At 48.2% G+C, this 21,433-nt stretch overlaps 3 long non-coding RNA genes and 1 pseudogene across 3 annotated transcripts in view, besides 4 other annotated features; 1 reads left to right on the top strand and 3 right to left on the bottom strand.

Annotated features, from left to right (window-relative positions):
- The window catches only part of LOC105374292 (uncharacterized), a 120,878-nt gene that overhangs the window by 57,669 nt on the left and 41,776 nt on the right, over positions 1 to 21,433 (bottom strand). The window lies entirely within an intron of this gene.
- The window catches only part of LINC01968 (long intergenic non-protein coding RNA 1968), a 73,748-nt gene that overhangs the window by 13,387 nt on the left and 38,928 nt on the right, over positions 1 to 21,433 (bottom strand). The gene's annotated exons all lie outside the window — the stretch shown is intronic.
- LINC01972 (long intergenic non-protein coding RNA 1972) lies at positions 73 to 3,544 on the top strand. The gene is made up of 3 exons (NR_146990.1): positions 73 to 146; positions 265 to 367; positions 3,172 to 3,544. It is a non-coding gene; the product is annotated as a long intergenic non-protein coding RNA 1972 (long non-coding RNA).
- Positions 11,273 to 13,308, bottom strand: FAM151AP1 (FAM151A pseudogene 1; annotated as a pseudogene).
- Positions 17,558 to 17,746: a silencer, noted in NCBI's record as "fragment chr3:194471765-194471953 (GRCh37/hg19 assembly coordinates)". NCBI's record gives its function as "represses an EF-1alpha promoter that drives an FKBP-Casp9 reporter gene in an ReSE screen in phorbol 12-myristate 13-acetate-treated (for megakaryocytic differentiation) K562 erythroleukemia cells {active_cell/tissue: K562(+PMA)}" and the evidence as "EXISTENCE:reporter gene assay evidence [ECO:0000049][PMID:32094911]".
- Positions 17,896 to 18,603: an enhancer, noted in NCBI's record as "OCT4-NANOG-H3K27ac-H3K4me1 hESC enhancer chr3:194470908-194471615 (GRCh37/hg19 assembly coordinates)". NCBI's record gives its function as "activates a minimal SCP1, AML or CMV promoter by ChIP-STARR-seq in naive H9 embryonic stem cells {active_cell/tissue: H9 hESC(naive)}" and the evidence as "EXISTENCE:reporter gene assay evidence [ECO:0000049][PMID:30033119]".
- Positions 18,846 to 19,046: a silencer, noted in NCBI's record as "peak4981 fragment used in MPRA reporter construct". NCBI's record gives its function as "represses an SCP1 promoter by STARR-seq MPRAs in K562 erythroleukemia cells {active_cell/tissue: K562}" and the evidence as "EXISTENCE:reporter gene assay evidence [ECO:0000049][PMID:32103011]".
- Positions 19,288 to 19,582: a silencer, noted in NCBI's record as "tiled region #1010; HepG2 Repressive non-DNase unmatched - State 7:EnhWF, and K562 Repressive non-DNase unmatched - State 21:Repr". NCBI's record gives its function as "represses a minimal TATA promoter and a strong SV40 promoter by Sharpr-MPRA in HepG2 and K562 cells {active_cell/tissue: HepG2 | K562}" and the evidence as "EXISTENCE:reporter gene assay evidence [ECO:0000049][PMID:27701403]".

The following is a 21,433-nucleotide window of genomic DNA, read 5'->3' as shown; positions in this document are numbered from 1 at the left end:
GCTCGCTGCACTTACCTACTGTGACACCACTGTTGCCGACACAGCCACCTCCGTGCGGGGGGTCCCTGGGGCAGACGCCCTGCTATCCTCATCTTAGGATACCCAGTTCCCAACACAGTGCCTGCTGCAAATTATCAGTAATAACAGTAAGTCTTTGTCACGTAATGAGTTACCTTTCAGTCTCTCTGCAGTCTCTTTCCTCCCAATGCCCCTTGGCTGCTCCCGAAGCCCTGACTCCTGACCTCCTGCCCCTTCTGTCTCCAGGGCCATTAACTCCCCTGCTGGTCCCTATCCATGGAGCCCATTGACAGATGAGTTTGATTCTGGACCTAAGAAGGACAGTTAACAGACACAGATATCTTTTAAGGTGAGGAGTGGGTATCGGATACCTGAAAGAGAAAAAGCCTACCAAAACCAACCTTATCTTCCTACCAATCTACCCACTAAGAGAGAGAAACCAGAATATTTTTGCCGGAGAATTATAATAGAGACTCACATCTACCCTCCTTCCTTCACTCAAAAGCCCTGCCCATCCCTCAGCACACATCTCAAAGAGGAACTGCCCCATGAAGCATTCCTGATCCCCAGCCAGGTGTGATGGTCTGTCCTGCGAGCCCCCCACAAGGTACCTTTTCTATGGCACTCACAATTTACTGCCTTCTACTGGATTATCAGTGACCAGACTACAGGTCCTGGTGGGCAGGGGCTGGGTCTGATTCACTGTGGTCCCACCTCACCCCAGCTCTACTCCCACCCCAGGCCCTGCCCAAGACGGGAGGTAAGCTGACTACATTGGTTTGAATAGGGTAAAAGGAAGGACAGCCAAGAGCATAATGCGGCTCAGATGAATTTCAGTTTAACTTTCCCAGAAGTTAAACTTCCCACTCATCAAGGTTCAATGCCTTCTCCTCCCAAAAGCTTTTCTAACCTTTCGTCAGAACCCATGACTCTTTCCTTTGGTTTCCGCAATCAGAGTACAACTGTTGGAAAAATCCTTTAGGTTTTGCCCTTCACCCTCTTAAGAGTGAAAGTCTTCATTGACAACTGGGCAGAATGGTGTTGGCTCTGAGCCAGCCTCTGAGTTCTGAGGCTGAGGGAGGTGCTATCCACCTGGCCCAGGACCTCCCGTCCTGGGCTCTTGGCAAGGCAGCTGACTCTCCCTGTCCTCTCCTAGCCCTACCACAACATTCCTGGGCATATCATCCCACTCACAAGGAGGATTCTTCTAGTGTTTATGAAGGCAGGGTTGGGCAAGACCCGAGAAGTGAGGAGCTAACAGACGGCTCTCCCCCAAGGCTGGTGTCCCCTCCTGCAGCATGGCTGCCAACTAGCCCCCCAGCCTCGGCTGCAACAACCCCACCCATGGGGAGCTAACAGCACTGCTCTTAGACAGCGGCGTCCGTGGGGCACTTTGCTTAGACCCACATCCTCCCTCCCAGCCCAGTTCCACCTCTTTGGGCTGCACAGAATGAATCTGCTTCCTTCCCCAGGTAGCCCCCTTCGGATATCTGGGACAGCTCTCGTGTCCTGTTGTGTCTTTCTCCAGTGTACACATTCTAGGCTCTCACAGTGTTTTTCACTTTGTCCCAGCAAGGCTATTGTTTTTAAGTGCTCTTGAAAGAACCTTCTCTGCAAGGTCAAATAGAAATGAGTAGTCAAGTTAGCACTGACCCGACCCCTCGTTGCATCTCAGCAAGAGCAAATACTTTCACATCTCTCCAGTGGTGCAAAACTAACTGGCAAGAGTCACATTCACACACACACTTGCTCAAATTATGCCAATAAAAGGAAGTTGCGAAAGTGTGAAGACAGCGTAAGGTTTCTGGTTTCGTAGAAAAACAGAGGGGTTAGCCCCCAATTCAAATTTTTTTTCTTTGATCTATGTTTAAAGAAAGCCCTGAGAGGACGGAGAGAGGTTGATTAACCGGTCAAATATACAATTAGATCGAAGAAATAAGACCTAGTGTTGGATAGATCAGCAGGATGACTATAGTTTACAATAATCTATTGTACATTCCAAAACAGTTAGATAGGAATAATTTGAATGATTATAGCATAAAGAAAAGGCAAATATTTAAGGTGGTGGATATCTGAATCACCCGGATTTGATGTTTACACACTATGTCAACATACCAAATTATCAAAGGTATCCCAAAAATATGTATACCTATTATGCATCAATTTTATTTTTTTTATTTCAATAGCTTTAGGGGTACAAGTGGTTTTTGGTTCCATGGATGAATTGTATAATGGTGAAGGCTGAGATTTTAGTGCACCCATCACCTGAGTAGTGTACACTGTACCCAATATGTAGGGTTTTTTTGTTTTGTTTTGTGGTTTGTCTTTGTTGTTGTTGTTGTTTTGTTTGTTTGTTTGTTTGAGATGGAGTTTCGCTCTTGTTGCCCAAGCTGGAGTGCAATGGCACAATCTCGGCTCACTGCAACCTCCACCTTCCAGGTTCAAGCGATTCTCCTGCCTCAGCCTCCTGAGTAGCTGGGATTACAGGCGCCTGCCACCATGCCCAACTAATTTTTTGTATTTTTAGTAGAGATGGGATTTCACTATGTTGGCCAGGCTGGTCTCGAACTCCTGACCTCAGGTGATCCAACCACCTCAGCCTCCCAAAATGCTGGGATTACAGGCTTGAGCCACTGCGCCTGGCCCCAATATGTAGTTTTTTATCCCTCACCTCCCTCCCTCCCTGCATCTGAGTCTCCAAAATTCATTATACCACTCTGTGTGTCTGTGTGTACCCATAGCTTAGCTTAGCTCTCACTTATAAGTGAGAACACATGCTATTTGGTTTTCCATTCCTGAGTTACTTCACTTAGGATAGTGACCTCCAGGTCCATCCCAGTTGCTGCAAAAGATGTTATTTCATTGTTTTTATGACTGAGTAGTATTCCATGGTGTATATGTGATATATTATGCATCAATTTAAAAAAAAAAATAAAGAAACCTAAGCGTGTAGTGTAAGAACTCTGAGAGCCAATCGCTCAATTGAAACTTTTCTTTGAGACCTTGGAGCAGGATTTGCAGGACCAAAGTGTGGGCCAATGAGGTGACAGACTGTCTCAAGAGAAAGAAGGGGAAATTGATGGTAGGAAAATTCATGATGAATTCCTGAAGAGGCTTTGTTTCAGTGAAGCATTTCTTAATTTTATTTTCCAGAATCTTCCCTTCAGAGAATACTAGAAAGTGTTCAGTATGTTAAGCCCTTAGAAATAAATTCTGGCCGGGCGCGGTGGCTCACGCCTGTAATCCCAGCACTTGGGGAGGCTGAGGTGGGTGGATCACAAGGTCAGGAGATCAAGACCATCCTGGCCAACACGGTGAAACCCCATCTCTACTGGGCGCCTGTAGTCCCAGCTACTCGGGAGGCTGAGGCAGGAGAATGGCGTGAACCCGGGAGGGAACCCGGGAGGCGGAGCTTGCAACGAGCCGAGATCGAGCTTGCAATGAGCCAAGATCGCGCCACTGCACTCCAGCCTGGGATACAGAGCGAGACTCCGTCTCCAAAAAAAATAAAAATAAAATTTAAAAGAAAAAAAAAATTCTACAGAAATTCACTAGAATCTCTCCTTCCTTCCTTTCTTCCAACTTTTCCTCCTTTCTTCTTTCCTCCGTTCCTCTTTCCTTCCTTTTCCCTCGCCTTATTCCTAAATGGATTTGAAATAACAAACGCCTCCGTGTTCTTGCGGTCCTGCACTTTAATAACACGGAATTGCACACTGCTTCATATGAGTGGGCCAGTGTCTGGAGTCCAAAATCTTTTCTGTTCTAAGAAATCTAGGCCAAAGCTGAACCTTCAGTAATGAGATCTAACCTATAATCAAATTAAATAGCACAGCATTAGATCAATTTCAGCCCCATACATCCACTGCTATTGGCTTCTACTAAATGTTTTAAATTGGTACAAAAGCCTTACTGAAAGGGAATCTTATATAGACCTATCATATAGAGGATGTTTCCTTAATCATCTTTTTAATGAAAAAAAAACTAAGCAAAAAGAAAACAAAATTAAGATCTAAGAGGCTTCATGATATCATCCCAAACCCAGCCAGTGATATTTTTGAAAGGGCAACAAAGAACTGGCGATAACATCTTTATTTTGGTTTGCTTCTAAGCCTAGAGGCACGGAGAAGATGAGAACATACACTTAGATCATGCCAACTTAGAAGACTTTCTAGTTTTGAAAATAGCATTTCTTCCTCTCCTTCCCAAACAGAGTAGCACTGGAACGCTCCCCGTCTTCATCCTACACTCTTTGACATCACCTCAAAGAGGAAGTCAATTTTACTACATGATTAAGACTCAAGCGAAGCATAATTCATTCAAGCAACTCACTACATATGTCAAAAATATAAATCCAGGGCTGGGCATGGTGGCTCATGCCTGTAATCCCAGCACTTTGGGAGGCCGAGGCTGGTGGCTCACTAGAGGTCAGGAGTTCGAGACCAGCCTAGCCAACATGGTGAAACCCCGACTCTACTAAAAATACAAAAATTAGCCAGGCGTGGTGGCACACACCTGTAATCCCAGCTACTCAGAAGGCTGAGGCAGGAGAATCGCCTGAACCCAGGAGGTGGAGATTGCAGTGAGCCAAGATGGCACCATTGCACTCCAGCCTGGGCAACAGGGCGAGACTCTGTCTCAAAAAATAAAATAATAAAATAAAATAAATAAAATAAAATAAAATAAATCCACGCCTTTCAGGAAAAGATGAAAAATCAGAGGGTCAAGGAAGACTGCATGGGCAACACATTAACTCTCTCCCATGTTCTTTCCTGAGAAGCCAAGATGCCCTGGCTTATGGTCCAACTCCTACCCCCACAGCCCAGAGGAGTCTCCCCTCCTCTAAAGTGGGTCTTAGAAACAGGTCCTTCCTGGCCGGGCTTGGTGGGTCACGCCTGTAATCCCAGCACTTTGGGAGGCTGAAGCAGTCAGATCACCTGAGGTCAAGAGTTCTAGACTAGCCTGCCTAACCCCATCTCTACTAAAAAATACAAAAAAAATTCACCGGGTGTGGTGGCACCTACCTGTAATCCCAGCTACTTGGGAGACTGAGGCAGCAGAATCACATGAACCCAGGAAGCAGAGGTTGCAGTGAGCCGAGATCGCACCACTGCACTCCAGCCTGGGCGGCAGAGTGAGATGCCATCTCAAATAAATAAATAAATAAAATATTTATCATGAATGATATCCCAAGGGGCCTGTGAAGACGCTGATGGTGTGTGGTCTGGCTTCCTTCTTTTTTTTTTTTTTTTGAGATGGAGTCTCGCTTTGTCACCCTAGCTGCAGTGCAGTGGCTCGATCTCGGCTCCCCGCAACCTCCACCTCCCAGGTTCAAGTGATGTTCGTGCCTCAGCCTCCCGAGTAGCTGGGATTACAGGTGCACACCACCACTCCAGGCTAATTTTTGTATTTTTAGTAGAGACAAGGGTTCACTATGTTGGCCCGGCTGGTCTCGAACTCCTGACCTCAGGTGATCCACCCGCCTTGGCCTCCCAAAGTGCTGGGATTACAGGCGTGAGCCACTGCACCTGGCCGGTCCTGTTTTCATATGCATTCAAATTCATTGATTTGCCACAAGAATGCTATCAGGTAGGTGCTGTGTTCAACCCCACTTTAAGGGTAAGAAATAGGGGGCACAGACAGAAGTAGAAGGAAGGATTCCAGCTCAAGCCATCTGGCTTTGGAGCTCAGGCTCCTAACTGCTGTACCTAGATGGCCTCTCCATAAGAGGCTACCTTGGAGAAAAGAGAGTGAAGCAGCCATTAGAATGCTCTTTGCAAGTATCTGAGAACCACATTCAAATACCAGCACCTCAGTTTCCTTCCTTAGAGGGAGGGCCCCTGAAAACATGCGTCTGACCACTTTGCCAGGCAGGATAGTGCACAACAGTGCTGCTTGAACAGCAGTCAGAGTGTCACAGCTCGGAGTGGTGCAAAAGCCGGGGGACAAAGAACTGTGGAGCCTTGCACCAAAGCCACACTGGGAACATCACAACCAGAGCCGTCCCCATCCCCCCAGATCTCCTGAAAAGTGAAGGGAGCTGGTATAAATAACAGTGTCCATTCCCATCCATTACCAGGCCCTGCTTGCAGCCTCTGGGATCTCTTGATTCACATTTTCCAAACGCTGGGATTCTTAGGGCCTTAGTTAAGGAAGGCAATGCCAGTCCAGGGGTCTATATCATCCTTGTGGGCAAAAGAATGGCCCCACTTGATAGGGCTGGCATGGTTAATTATCTGGGCATGGGAGCCCTCTCAAACTTGTTAAAGAGATTCACAGTATATAAGGCATATTTATAAAAACCATGTAATTTGACGCTCTAAAACAACCCTGTGAATGAGCTTAGGATAGACGATGTATATTATGCTCATTTTGTAAATGAGGACACCGAGATTCAGAGAAATAAAATGGCTTGACCAAAAGTCACCCAGCTATTAAATATCAAAGGCACTAAAAATCCTGCTTTTCTGTCTTCAGACCCTGAACTCTCCTCTCTACACCATCGCATGTCAGTGGAACTATAAGCCTCAAGACCTGAGTTCAAGTTCGTCCTCTGCCACTTACTAATGTGATCTTGGCAAGTCACGTATTCTCTCTGGGGCTCATTCTCTGCATCTGTAAAATGGGGATTAAAAACTCTGTGTCCCGCCTGATTAATTCTCTATGACTTGGGAGTCTTCTGGCCAACCTCACTCTGAAAACGTCACCAGACCAAAGATACATGGAGCAGTTGGCCTCCTTTATAGGACGCTGTCCCGCTGGGAGATGGGAGAAAGAGGGGTACAGTGCCACCTTGGTGAGGTGGGACAGGAACCGGCTGGGCTGTCTGGCTGACTTACGTGCCGAAGCAGCTCTGCTGGAGTCCTGAGCAATCTTCCCACTCCTTCCAACTCAATTTGTCCGGCTGACGTCTAAGTTCTCTTTTAGCCCTAAAAGTCTCTGAATCTAGATCTTAGAAGCCAGTTCCCTCCACGACTGTCGCCTATTCACTTTACCTCTGTAAATGCCATTTCCCCTTCTGCAAAAGCCAAATCACACTCCTTTCCCACCTGCTGCAGATGCTGCTCTGCGTTTTAATTGACAGTCATTCTAACCTGCTGATCTCCTTGAAAGGTCCCTGCCTTATTCAATCACTCAGTTGTAATGAGGTCATTGCTGGAACTGGCAACTCCCACAGCCTCAGGATTCCAGCAAAGCACACACCAGACTTTCCACAAAACTGCTGAAGCCTTGAGTGCCCCGGGGCTGAGTGCCACCTGGCTGATGTCAACCCCCGCCCCCCAGCAGCCTCCCTGAGATGTTTCAATTACAGCTGGGCTTGCTGGCAACACCTGAAGTTCTCTCCCCCACAGACAGGACTCAGGCTCCCAGCTATTCCTCCTTACATATCACATTTTTATGGACAGTGCCGGCAGAAGAATAGGAAGAAGATTGGGGTTCATGAAATGCCACCACCGGTCTAGCCTTTTTTTAGCCTATTGGAAGTGGGGAAACATGGAAAGTTCTCAAAATGTGCACTCTGGATCCCTGGGATTCCCAAGAGGACCCTGTGGTGGAGGTTCCATGAGGTCAAATTTTCATAATGAGATGAAGTCATTATTTGCCTTTTCTCCCTATGCTGACGTTTGTAATAATGGTGCATAAGCAACAGGGGGTAAAACTGCTGTCCCCTCAGCACAGATCAAGATAGTGACACTACACTGTACTGACAGCTGTCGTATTCTCCACTACCACACACTCATGGCAAAAAGTAAATTATTTAAAAAGCCACACGTAAGCTTCTCTATGATCAAAGAGTAGAAGTTATTACGTTATGAAATGTCAACCCTTGCGTAACACCTTGTTTTAACATTCTGTGTGGACTGGTAAGTACCACTAGAAGTACCACTTCTGCCACACATCGATGTACAATGATTGTCTCAAGGAAAAATGACTTGTGTGAGTGCTTCGGTTAAGTGAACTAATCACTTTTTTTCAGAAGATACATTTTTACTTAAGAGAAACGACTGGCAGACAAATTAAGGATATTCAGATTGGGGTTTTGGCAGCTGTTTTCTCAAAAATGGATCTCCTGAGACTGTTTCTTCCAGGAAAACAACTGATGGTATTTGTTGCCAATAATAAAATCCGAGCTTTCCAGTGAGAATCAGAATTTTGGAAAACTTGTGTTTACCACTGTGAGCTTGACAGCTTCCCAATAATACTTAAGGAGTTTTCCAATGATATTCCAATGGTAATACTAACGAATTGTGCTATCTAAATATTGGATAGTAAAAACGTCAACATTTAGAAAATGTATATCACACAGGGAACCAATATTTTTCAAATTATCCACATCTAATATTAGGCAACCACGCGCAAGCAAAAGACACGTTCAAAGTACAGGAGAAATGGATGGATTTTAATGTGAGATAGTACAAGAAGTTTATTGATATAGTTTCAGATTCCATATTGTAATAAACCTTTAAGAAACTATCACTTCTTGAGTTTGGGTATAGAATCCAAAAAAAAAAAAAGAACCACTCAGCCCGACGAGGTGGCTCACACCTATAATCACAGCACTTTGGGAGACTGAGGCAAGTGGATCACTTGAGGTCAGGAGTTTGAGACCAGCCTGGCCAACAGGGTGAAACACCATCTCTACTAAAAATACAAAAATTAGCTGGAAATCACTTGACCGGGAGGCAGAGGTTGCAGTGAGCCAAGATCGTGCCACTGCACTCCAGCCTGGGCAACACAGTGAGACTCCATCTCAAAACAAAACAAAACACAAAAAACCCATAATTGTCAAGAAGACTATTAAAATACTCCTCTCCTTTTCAACTACACGTCTATATAAGGCCAGATTTTTCTCACACTCTTTGGCCAAAACAACGTGGCACAACTGATTGGATGCAGGAACAGTGATGAGTCACTGGCTTAATCTATTGATTCAAGCATTAAAAAGTTTTGCAAAGACATAAAACGATGTCACTCTTGTAAGCAATTTTGTTTCTTGTTTTAGGAAATACGATTACTTTTTAGTTAAAACGTGTTATTTATGTTGACATGTAATGAGTTTATTATTGCTATTTTTAAATGAATTAGTAAGTTAATATTTGTTAAATTTCTGTGTTTTAATTTATATAGTAAATACGGACAGATATAAGTCACATAAACAAAATATCTTTGGGGTTTTCTGTATTTTTTTTTTTTTTGACGGAGTGTTGCTCTGTCGCCCAGGCTGGAATGCAGTGGCGTGATCTCAGCTTACTGCAACCTCCGCCTCCCAGGTTCAAGCGATTCTCCTGCCTCAGCCTCCTGAGCACCTGGGACTACAGGCACATGCCACCACACCTGGCTAATTTTTTGTATTTTAGTAGAGACGGGGTTTCACTGTGTTAGCCAGGATGGTCTCGATCTCCTGACCTCATGATCCGCCTGCCTCGTCAGTAATTTTTTATAGCGTAAAAGAATCCTAAGACCAAATAGTTTGAGAACTGCTAAATGGTGATATTCTGTAGTTTTAGGATTGTGGGTCCAGCTACTGTGGGAAGACTGGATGTGGTCAAAGATGGGAGGGGAGCCTTCTGCTACTGGTTGGCAAGAGCTACTGAAGCCTGGAACTAAGGCAGCGGCAATGGCATGGCCAGGGGGTGTAATGTGAGTTCATCATTAAAATCGGGGTCACTATGTCATATTTTGGTTTGGTTGCAGTGCTGAACCTTATGCAACCCTGGCCCTGGAATAGGCATGGTCTCCTCTGAAGGGAGTGGTTATATCCAACACCAGCCATTTGAGAACCAGATGGATGCTCTGACAAGAAGCAGAAATGAAGCGGGGAAGCAGGGAGAGGACCTTGCTCCAGCTGTTCTGGGTAAAGACCTGTTCTGGGCACACACTCAACTTGGCAAGTGCCAAGATAGTACTTGCCATAGGGATGCTAGGGGGAGTTCAGGTGAGGCAGGCCCTTCAGGCTTCAAAGGGAAAGGTGCTGAATGCCAGGTATCCTGGGTCACAGTACACCCTGTGTTGATCTCCCTTCACCTGTCACTGAGTCTCCAGTGGGACAAATCCAGTCAGGTTTTCCAGCCTTGTCTCAGCTGTACTAGAGGAAACTAAGGGAAGAAGCATGCATGCATGCGGGGGAAATCACAGGCCCCTACCGAAGTTATTATAAGTTATTTACGAGATGGGAGCAATGGTTAGGGAGAAATTCTCAAGTAAAAGGGAAATCAGGTGAATCAGAGAAACAGCTTCTCCATCCAGTGACAACTAGACCTTGTTTACAAAAGGCAGAATTTTCCTTAGGAGGTGAGAGAATGAAGAGATATTTTGGAAGAAAGAATAAATAAATAGAATGAACTGAATACAGAGCAGGTGAGGGACTCCAAAACTTATAGGACATCTACTTGGAGCTTGAGGCGCCTCGTAGACATTCCAGGTGGAGCTGCCCAAAAGACAGAAGGTTGCGTATGTCTGAAGCTCGGGAGGTCTGGAGTGGAGGTGTTGGCTTGAGGATCATTAACCTACAGAGGTCAGCATGTCTCAGGCCTCAGAGCAATTCAGAGTCACCTGTGGAGGATTATTAAAAGGAAGATAGCTGTCCCAGACCAACTGACTCAAAATCTCCAGGAGTGATTCTGATACACACCACCACAGGTTCTCTGAAGGCAGAGGAGATGCTGAGAGCTTCCAGAAAAAAAGGAGAAAGAATGAGTTCCAAATGCAGCCACAAAGCCAAAAGCATCTTGCTCCTGAGCACCATAAGGCTGTCAGGAAAGAATGTGCCTAATTAAATTCTAATGGGCTGGCAGACTACAGCACACGGAATACATCAACTGCTCGTCTTCAGACAGTGCAAGAGTCCCCTGCTAATATCTAAGCCTTAAATGTAGCCACTTAAGCTCCCCATATATCAGGCATCATTAGGGATCCCAGCAGCTGCACATGGGCCTGACCATAAAACAGTCAGGGGGAGAACCAGAGGGCCATGGGGAGCAACCCTCAGCCTTCCCTAGATACAGCTGTGTAAAGTAGGCCCTTTCTTCCAGCAACAATCCTTTTCCCTGCAGCTGGACTGAATAGAATGAACATTTCTGAAATATAGCCAGGGCACAGACTGTTCTCTTGGAAACTCCAAGTTGTCTTTTCTAGCAAAGCAGTGAAAAGGTGAGTAAAACATTTTTCATTTATTAAAAATCTTCTATTGACCACACACAATAAGCTAGATATCCAGACCAGGGTTTCAAACCTTTCTTTTTTGTTTTGTTTTGCCTGGAGAAAGGCAAAGGTCTTTATTTCTTCCTGCCTCCCCATGGGAAGACTCCACCCTGGGGTCTGCTGGCCCACCACCCCTGGGTGCTCAGTTTCTGCAAACATCGGCCAGCAAGTCCTTGTGGTACCCCTGGGGCAGCGTGTAGTAGATTCGGGTTCTGTCTACAGCCCTGGCTCCCAGCAGCGCTGTCCTCTCACAGGCATAGTTGCCCCCAGCTGGGCTGTGCTCCACTGTGACAGTAGCCCCAGGGGAGGATGCCAGCAGCCTGGCAACAGCTCCAGGCGTGCTGTGGCCCCGTGGCCTGGCCTGCATCTGGAAGCTGAGCCCCTGGCACAGCTCTAGCATATCTGTGAGCAGCTGTTCCCTGTAGCCACTGCCCAGCACCTCCTGAGTCCAGCCTGGTGCCACAGTCACATGGGGGAAGACCTCAGCCACAGCTGTAAGCAGCTCTCTGCCAGCCATGTGGCCGAGGACTGAAAAGCTCCCGTGGGAGATGTTGGCCCCATCCACACAGGCCGATGCAAGAAGCCAAGGCTGGACAGGGATGCCAGCAAGGCCAGGGACGGCCAGAGGGCTGCGGGCTCCACTATTTGCAAATGGACGCTCCAGTGTCTGGGATGTGCGGCCAGCTGCTGCAGGCAGGACTCCAACCTCAGGATGCTGCCACTTGGAGCACAAACAGTGGGCACGGGGTTCTCAGCCACAGTTCCCTTGAGGCCAGTGTCCAGCAGGATCATGCCTTCTGTGTCTGGGAGGGTTACCATTGCTGTACCCCTGGGGCAGCATTGAGAAGACCATCACCCTCGAACAGCTGGAGAAGAGGGATCAGGCTGCCTCCCGTGTAGTACATTTGTTTCCATGTGGCATTCACTGTGGGGCCCCAAATCGCCAAGGTGAGGTGGCTGCTATTCATGAAACACCTTCTGTAGGCCACAGCTCTACAGCCATCCTCTCTAAGCCTCATGGCACCCTGCCAAGTAGAGGCCACCTGCTTGAACTGCAACAGGAAAGGCTCAAAGATATCACAGTAGACGTGGTGGACAGCAGTGTTATCCTGGACGTAGGGCAGATCCTCTGCCAACATGGGGTCCGAGGCAGCCTGCCATAGCGTCAGGCTGTACCTCTCAGATTGGCTCAGCAGCCAGCTGGAGTGGGCCTGGGCGGCCCGCACTGTGGAAGACCGCACAGGGAAGGTGACCCTCTGGAGCACCACTCCCACCAGCTCGTGCATCTTCTCCACCATGGCTCGGGTGTACGTCCTGTTTGGGAACATGGGCACGTACAGGGTGGTCCAGCCTGGAGACAGGGTGGCCTTGGGATACTTCTCCTGGACCAGGGCCAGGAACTGTGTGGCACTGACCTCAGCTGAGATGGGCATGTCGGGGCCCTTTAAGATGTCAGCGTTGATCCACATGGGCCGCCGGACTTTGCCCCACTCTGTCAGCTACCACAGGAGGTCCAGGGAGGGGCCCACGGCCTTGATGTTCTTGAAGTCCAGTTTGATGCCCTTCTGGGAAGAGCCCAGCACACCATCCAGCCACTGCTCCAGTGTGTCATCACTGTAGATAGCCGGAGGGTGTGCCACGATGGGAGCTCCTGTCTCGTCAGCTGTGCCGAGCCCTTCTACATTGACGTCAGCCTCCAGGACTGTGATGTTGCTGTTCAGGGCAGCTGTCACGGCTTTCTTGCTGTTGGCTGCGTGGTACCAGGTGACCTCCAGGGCATCTCGGCAGCTGATCTGGCCCAGGCTCAGCAGGTAATCCAGCATGTCGGCCTCGGAGCTGCAGGCCTCCAGCTCACAGCCTGGCCACCGCAAGGCGATGGCAAGGACTATCGCGGCAATGACCACTACAGAAACACAGGTAATGCCAGCAAACCCCCACTTGACCTGATTCTTCGATAACTGCTCCCTGCAGGCCATGACAACGCTCTCTGGGGAACGCCCCCAACTCCGCACGACCCAGAGTCCCCAAGGTTCCCTGCAAGCTGGGATCCCGTGGGAGGCAGGAGGCCCCAGCAGCACCTCATTCTCCACCAGTCAAACCTTTTAAGTGTCATTATTTTGTTCCCTGTGTGGAATCTTTCTTTCGGACAACATTGCCTGCTTGAGTGCATTAATTAATAACTAGTTTACCCATGTGCTAATGAATCAGTGACACGAAAACATGTAAACTCCAGGCCAGCCCTGCCGAACCCACAGTGAGGACTTAATACATGTTCGCTGCAGTGGATTCAGCCCAATGTCTGCATGCTAAATGGATGTGTTTTGCACCAAAAGCAATATTAGCCGTACAGTTTTATTATAGTTAAGAGTTTTTGGGGGGGTCAGGTGTGGTAGCTCACACCTGTAATACCAACACTTTGGGAGGCCAAGGCAGGTGGATCACTTGAGATCAGGAGTTCAAGACCAGTGGCTAACATGATGAAACCCCGCCTGTACTAAAAATACAAAAATTAGCTGGGTGTGGCGGCGCACGCCTGTAGTCCCAGCTACTCAGGAGGCTGAGGCAGGAGAACCGCTTGAACCTGGGAGGTGGAGGTTGCAGTGAGCCCAGATCATACCACTGCACTTCAGCCTGGGCGATAGAGTGAGACTTCATCTCAAAAATAAAAAAATAAAGAGTTTTTGGAATAGTTCAAGGACTTGCTTATGGCACCGTGGAGTACTAGAGTTCCAGGTAACCCAGGGTGAGAAGCACTTATGTGTACTTTGTCCCCCAAAACTAAACATTGAGAATATATAAAATCCTCCTTCCCATGGGAAAATGCAGAAATTCCCAGAAAGACATCTCAGCAGCATCTGGGAGAATGAGGAGATGCCTCTTTGGGGTGGATTATATGGGCGCCTTAATTGGGCTTCCGGACCAGAGACGAGATGGTGTCAGTACAAGGACATATTCTGGAGCCTGTGTAGTTCTATCTGGCTGTGGGCAAGTCAGGCTAACCTTTTAGTCAAGGGATCCCCAAGTGTGGTCCAGAGACCACATGCATCAGCATCGTCCGGAGAACATGTTTAAACACTGATGCTTAGGCCCCGCCCCAGACTACTCAACCAGAATCTCAGAGGACAGCCCATAATCTGCATTTTTAAATAAGCTCCCCACGATGCAGGGGATCCTGGTGCATCTCACCCTCAAGAGCTCTGTCCGTTACCCTGCACTGCCAGGCATCCGGGGGAGGTTTCTTCCCTGCAACACTCACTCTTCATCCACACTGCAGCCAGACGGACCCTGTGAGACACCCAAACGCAGGAAAGGCCTGTGCCTTCTCCGCCTCTTGCTAGGGCTGTCTTCCCACGCTCACCACAAGGTGACATTTTATCCTTCAGGGCACTGATGACATAGCCACTGCCCATACGTTGGAGGTGCTCTGACAAGGGGCTCAGGCAATGCGGACCTTACCCAGAGATACCGGAGGTGATGCTGCAAAACGGTGCTACCTGGGCAGGGGGAGATGCTGAGGCACCACTCAAGCGCGTGTTCAAGCCGCATGCTCCCTCCCCTTTGCAGACACCTGGACCCTCAACCTTGTGAGCCCAAGTGGCCTGTCTTTTCTCTCCTGCCAGCCTCTGTGTGAGTTTCGGAGACAGCTTGGACCTTCTGTCTCAGCCTTCTTAACCCAGAGCCACCAGGCCTGCATTCCTCTCTTGGGGAGCTCTGAGCTTCCAAAAAGGAGTAGAATGAGTGAGAAGGGGGAGTAAAGGCGGCCTGAAACACCAAGGACTTTTGATAGGCTCTCTGACCCTCGGGGCACCACAACCCCAGGGAAAGAGGCCACCAGATGAGGGCCGGCTGCTATTATTTTCTAGACCGGAAAATGGTTGTTCGGTGGTACGTGATTTGGAAATGGTATCCTACCTGCTCCTGGCACTGCTGACCCTCTTCCCGCCACCCGCCACCCCCCCGATGATGCAACTCAGTGACCACTTTATGAATTCAAGGACCAAGCCCTGCTTTTAAAAGCTGCAGGCTAGCCGGGCGCTGTGGTTCATGGCTCTCAGGACTTTGGGAGGCTGAGGCAGGCAGATCACCTGAGGTAGGGAGTTCAAGACTAGCCAGCCAACACGATGAAACCCCATCTCTACTGAAAATACAAAAATTAGCCGAGCGTGGTGGCAGGTGCCTGTAATCCCAGCTACTTGGGAGGCTGAGGCAGGAGAGTTGCTTCAACCCGGGAGGCGGAGGTTGCAGTGAGCCAAGATCGCACCATTGCACTCCAGCCTGGGCGACAAGAGCAAAACTCCGTCTCAAAAAAAAAAAAAATAAGTCACAGGCTCAAGTTCAGGCACCATGTAGTCTCTCTGTGGATATTGCCTGTGTCTAGCCCTTTCTCTGCTTTAGCCAGAGGAAGGGGGTCAGGAACCCCAGGCACCCCCTCTGCTGTCTGTCCCCCTCACATACAGGTCTCAGGCTGCCTAACAATTCGCCCTGCCCCATCCTTGGTTAGTCTTGGCATTGTGCTTTAAGGGGCAGGCATGTTGATGGCAGGAGCCCTGTCACCACAGCCAGAAGCCTGGTCCCTTGCTGGCCCCTCCACTCCCAGGTAGAAACAGTCTCTTCACTTCCCTGGCCTCAGCCTCCTCATTTGTAAATGAGGTATGGAGTTCAAGTCCATACCTAACTCCGGGGCTGCGGTGAGAATTAATCTGATAGTCAATGTTGAAAAAACTGGCTTAGAACACTGTAAAACAGGCTAGAATTTTAAATGTTTCCTTCTTTATATGCAGTCATGTGCCACATGGTAACATCTTGGTCATTGACAGACTCCATCAACAACAGTGGTCCCATAAAATTATAATGGAGCCAAAAACTTCCTATCGTCTAGTATTTTTACGCTACACCTTTTATCATTATTTTAGAGTATACTTTTTGTATTTTTTTTAAGTTAACTGTGAAACAGCCTCAGGTAGTCCTTCAGCAGGTATTCCAGAGGAAGACACTATTATCATAGGAGACACGAGCTCCATTCACACTACTGCCCCTGAAGAGCTTCCGGTAGGATGAGGCGTGGAGGTAGAAGGTAGCCATATTCATAATTCTGACCTAGTGCAGGCCTAGGCTAATGTGTGTGTCTGCGTCTTTATAACAAAAAATTTATAAAATAAAAATAAATAGAAAAAGTTTATAGAGTAAGGATATAAAGAAAGGAAATATGGGCCGGGTGAGTGGCTCATGCCTGTAGTCCCAGAACTTTGGGAGGCCAAGGTGAGTGGATCATGAGGTCAGGAGTTCAAGACCAGCCTGGACAACATGGTGAAACCCGGTCTCTACTAAAAAAAAAAATACAAAAAAAATTAGCTGGGCGTGGTGGCATGCACCTGTAGTCTCAGCTACTGGGGAGGCTGAGGCAGGAGAATCACCTGAACCCAGGAGTGGGAGGTTGCAGTGAGCCAAGACTGTGCCACTGCACTCCAGCCTGGGTGACAGAGTGAGACTCTGTCTAAAAAAAAAAAAAGAAAGAAAATATTTGTATACAGTTGTGCAATACATTTGTGTTTTAAGCTCAGTGTTATTATAATACAAAAGAGTCAAAAAGTTTAAAAAGTTAAAAATGTATGAAGTAAAAAAGTTACAGTAAGCTAAGGTTAATTTATTTTGAAGAAATAAAATTTCTGAGTAAATGTAGTGTACCCAAAGTGTCTTGTGTTTATAAAGTCTACAGTCATGTACAGCAACTCCCAGGCCTTCTCATCCACTCCGCACTCACTCACTCACTGACTTGCCCAGAGCAACTTCCCATCCTGCAAGCTCCATTCATGGTAAATGCGCTGTACAGGTATATAGGTTCAGGGCACTTACTATGTACACATTTTAAAATCTATACCTTGCCAAGGTATACATTTTATTTTCTTTTACACTGTATTTTTACTGTACCTTTTCTATATTTAGAGACACAAATGCTTACCATTGTGCTACAGTTGCCTACCACATTCAGTACAGTAACATGCTGTACAGGTTTGTACACTAAGAGCCATAAGCTACACCATAGAGCCTAGGCGTGTAATAGGCTACGCCATCTAAGTTTGCGTACACTCTACAATGTTCACACAACAATAAAACTGCCTAACCATGCATTTCTCAGAACATATTCCCATTGTTAAGTGAGGCATGATGGTAGATACACGGTAAAACATTTTGAAACAGTAAAAGAATAAAGAAACTATTATTTATAAACCCATCACCTGAGCAACCCTGGGTATTGTTTATTTACTTCCTTCTTTTTTCTTTTTTTTCTTTTTAATTTGAGACAGAGTCTTGCTCTTATAGCCCAGGCTGGAGTGCAATGGCGCAATCTCAGCTCACTGCAACCTCCGCCTCCCCGTTCAAGCAATTCTCCTGCCTCAGCCTCCTGAGTAGCTGCGATCACAGGCATCCGCCCCTACGCCCGGCTAATTTTTGTATTTTTAGTAGAGACGAGGTTTCACCGTGTTGGCCAGGCTGGTCTCAAACTCCTGACCTCACCCACCTCAGCCTCCCTAAGTACTGGGATGACAGGCGTGAGCCACCGCGCCTGGCCTCCTTCCCTTTTTTTTTTTTTTTTTTAACTCAGCTGGGATCATGCTCTGTTTGTGAGTTTGAAACTGTTTTGGAGATTCATTTTTCTTATGTGCACAATGAACATTGTGAGCATAAAGCTTTTTCATTCACTTTTACAGGATAATTTCCCAGAAGTCCAATCGCTGGGTTAAAGGCTATGACTGTTTTAAAGCTCCTGATGCATATATCATAACTCTTGTTAGCCCTTCTCCCCAGAGTTGGAAACTGAAGCTCAAAAGATTGAAATACACAGCAAAGCTGGACAGAAACCCTGGGCAAGGTATTCCACGTTTTGCGGTCTACGCTCAACAGCACAGCATGAAAGAGAAGGCGGCCCCCTCCTGCAGAGCCTCAGATTACTGTGCACTGATGAGGACAAGCAGCCCTGTGGGGGATGAAACCTGGAACAAAGGCTGGGGAATTGAAAGGACAGCCTGGGGTTCAGGACCGCTGAGTTTGACTGGGGGCTTTTCTGCAACTCTGTGACCCTGAGCAAGTCCCTTTGGCCTCAGTTTCAGCCTTGCAAAATGAGGGGCATGGACTGAGTCTAACACCTCACCCCTCTGCCCAGATGCATCACTCCCAAACCAAAAACAGAAACATTTTGGTTTTAGTTTTGCACAGAAGGACTAAAGATAATCCATTTTCTCCAGCTCGAGATAGTAACTGGTTGCTCTCTTGGCCATAAAACTGACCTGGCTGGATCTCCCAGCCAGCAGGCTGGGGTTCATGTGACAGCTAGCTCCAGAAAACAGGCCCCAAGCTGGAATCTGCCAGACAGTGGCAGGAGAATGCAGTCCTTTCAAGATCAGGTCAGTTGGTCTCAACACCAGGCTCCGCTGTCTGCACTGTAAAGAGATTTCCCTGTCCACCCAGCCCTGGGGACAGACGGACAGATGGAGGGCGTCGGTACCAGCCGTCCAGGGCGCTGGTCTGCTGCCTGCTCTCTGTGTGCACAGGGGTGCTGATGGACAGCTGCCCAGCGCGGCCTGCGCAGGGTCCTGCAGGGAGTCGAGGCTGCTGCTCTTGGTTGTTTATTCAAGTGGTCAGGAACTCAGGAAGCCACATCAACAGTTGTGAAAATGGGACCAACAAAACAAGGTCGGTGGGGACAGCTGTTTGTCAGATGCCCCTGAACTTAAGTGTTTATCTGGCTGACACACAGACTGCCGTTTCCCAGAATGCAGAGGTGAGTGCCTCTGTTTGCGGTGGAGGGTCAAGGTCCTAGAATCCCACACGTGTGCGTCTCTCTCAGACTTGCTTTGAGCCTAGAACAATGGTTGCTCCCCTGAAGGAAGAACTGCCTCAGCTCTCTCAGAAAGAGGAATGGTGAGCTCAGGGCGCGGTCTTTATGGAAGATGTACCTATGGAGCATCAGGAAGCCAAGTCACTGGCAGGGACCACAGGGCATGTCATTGCCATACGTAAAAGTACGTATACACAGAAGAACACACTTTGCAAGAACATGTTCAAACAAAAAGGTAAACATATCAAAATGATGGTCTATGGGTTAAAAAAAAAAAAAAAAGAATAGGATTTGGCCCTGGGGATAATCACCTTTAGCACAAGAAAAGAGGGGACATGCAGGGACCGCTCATGCAAATGCGCTGTGAGCTGATTGGGGAATGCCACCAATTCCCGGGGCTTGACGGCCAAAGGCTTTTTAAATAAAGGAAAGAAAAAAGACAAAAGCCAACCGAACACGGAAGACGTCATTAAGAATGGATTTGGCCCCAATGCAGTGGCTCACGCCTGTAATCCCAGCACTTTGGGAGGCCGAGGCAGGTGGATCACTTGAGATCAGAAGTTCAAGACCAGCCTGGCCAACATGGTGAAACCATGCCTCTACTAAAAATACAAAAAACTAGTTGGGCGTAGTGGCGCATGCCTGTAATCCCAGCTACTCAGGAGGCTGAGGCAGGAGAATCAACTGAGCCCGGGCGGTTGCAGTGAGCCAAGATGGAGCCACTGCACTCCAGCCTGGGCGACAGACTGAGACTCTGTCTAAAAAAAAGAAAAAGGCTTTTGAAGGGCCTTGAATTTGTTTTTATAAAGGGAGGAGGTTAATCCACATGGGACAGAGGTGTGGACCACCTTAGTTCTCAGCCCTGGGAGCGCATTCGAATCCTTCAGGAGGCTTTGAAAAGACACTGGATTCCATTGGCTTGGGGCGAATCGAGCTTTCAGGTTTAAACAGAGCCCACGGTGTCTTATAAGTAGTCAGAGCTGAGAGGGCTGCACTGTAGTAACCTGTGTGGCATCTGATTGCTCAGGAGAACAGGAGGGAGTGCTTGCCCAGAGCTGGAGGAAGAAGGGTTTTTGACAAGGAAGGGCCAGTTGCAGTCAGAGATGGAGAAGGAGTGACTTGCAGTGGGCACCATTTGAGATGAGGGAGGAGAGGAGAAACCAGAACGGAAGCAGGGGTGAGTGTGTGCAGTAAGAGCTGAAGGGTAGGGAGAGGGGGAGCTGCAGATGCAAAGGAACAGCGAGGCAGGATGGGAGCAGGGTCCGTGCGGCCACGGGCCGACCTCTCACGTTACAGACACAATGAGAAAGCCGAGCCTCAGAGAAAGCAGCTTATCCAGAGACGGGCCTCGAACACAGCCACCCGACTCCGCTGGCCTGTCCGGTGCTGTCTCCGCCGCCCCACGGAGCCTGTGTGCTCTGCCTGAGCGGCACGTCCCCATCATCCCCATCTGACTAACGCTCACCACAGGGGCAGGGGAGAAGCCACCTCAGAGGGAGCTGGCAAGTGCTTTGAACCTCCTGAGAAAAAAATCACCTGAAGAGGACTTTGGGAAGGAAACCGACTAGTTAAGATTGCTTATTCCCTTCCCTCTCTCAGCTCAATATTCTTATCTATTGCAAACTTTCCATCACCCTCTGAAGTCAGGGCTGCTTTTCTCCTTAATTCCTTAATTCTGGAGGCTCACTTGTTTGTTCTTTCAATGCTGCCAGCCAGGCTGGGTGACTGTCGTAGCGATTCTCCAATTTCCTGCCACTCTGATGGTCTGTTAGTCACCCTGCTGAGAAAGGGAGGTCTGTGGAGTTAGGGTCTGAGGGAGATGGCTGAGAACACTTGCTCTCAGCCAGAATGCACGGCGTGGCCACGTGTCCACCACGCTAAATGTCTCACAGGTGCCCAGTTCTTACAGACAAGAAAAGTAAGCCCAAGAGAGGCAATGTAAGTTTCCAAGTGATGGGCAAGCTGGCGTGGAGGAGCTGGGTCTTACTTGTGCACCGCTGGGCCCACACCTGTGACATCACGTGGTAGAGGCTTGCTGGGCGCAGTGGCTCACGCTTGTAATCCCAGCGCTTTTGGAGGCCAAGGCGGGCGGATCACAAGATCAGGAGTTCGAGATCAGCCTGAACAACACGGTGAAACCCCATCTCTACTAAAAATACAAAAATTAGCCAGGCGCAGTGGCACACACCTGTAGCCCCAGCTATTCAGGAGGCTGAGGCAGGAGAATCAATAGAACCCGGGAGGTGGAGCTTGCGGTGAGCCGAGATCGCGCCACTGCACTCCAGCCGGGGTGACAGAGTGATACTCCATCTAAAATAAAAAAAATTAAAAAAAAATAGCTCACTGAACTGGAAGAAGTGGCCGGCCTGAGATCTGCTC

This window comes from Homo sapiens, chromosome 3 (assembly GCF_000001405.40).
Source record: "Homo sapiens chromosome 3, GRCh38.p14 Primary Assembly".
In the NCBI taxonomy this organism is placed as follows: Eukaryota; Metazoa; Chordata; class Mammalia; order Primates; family Hominidae; genus Homo; species Homo sapiens.
Note: the sequence above shows the minus strand (reverse complement) of the source record. Positions and strands in the feature narration are given on the sequence as shown.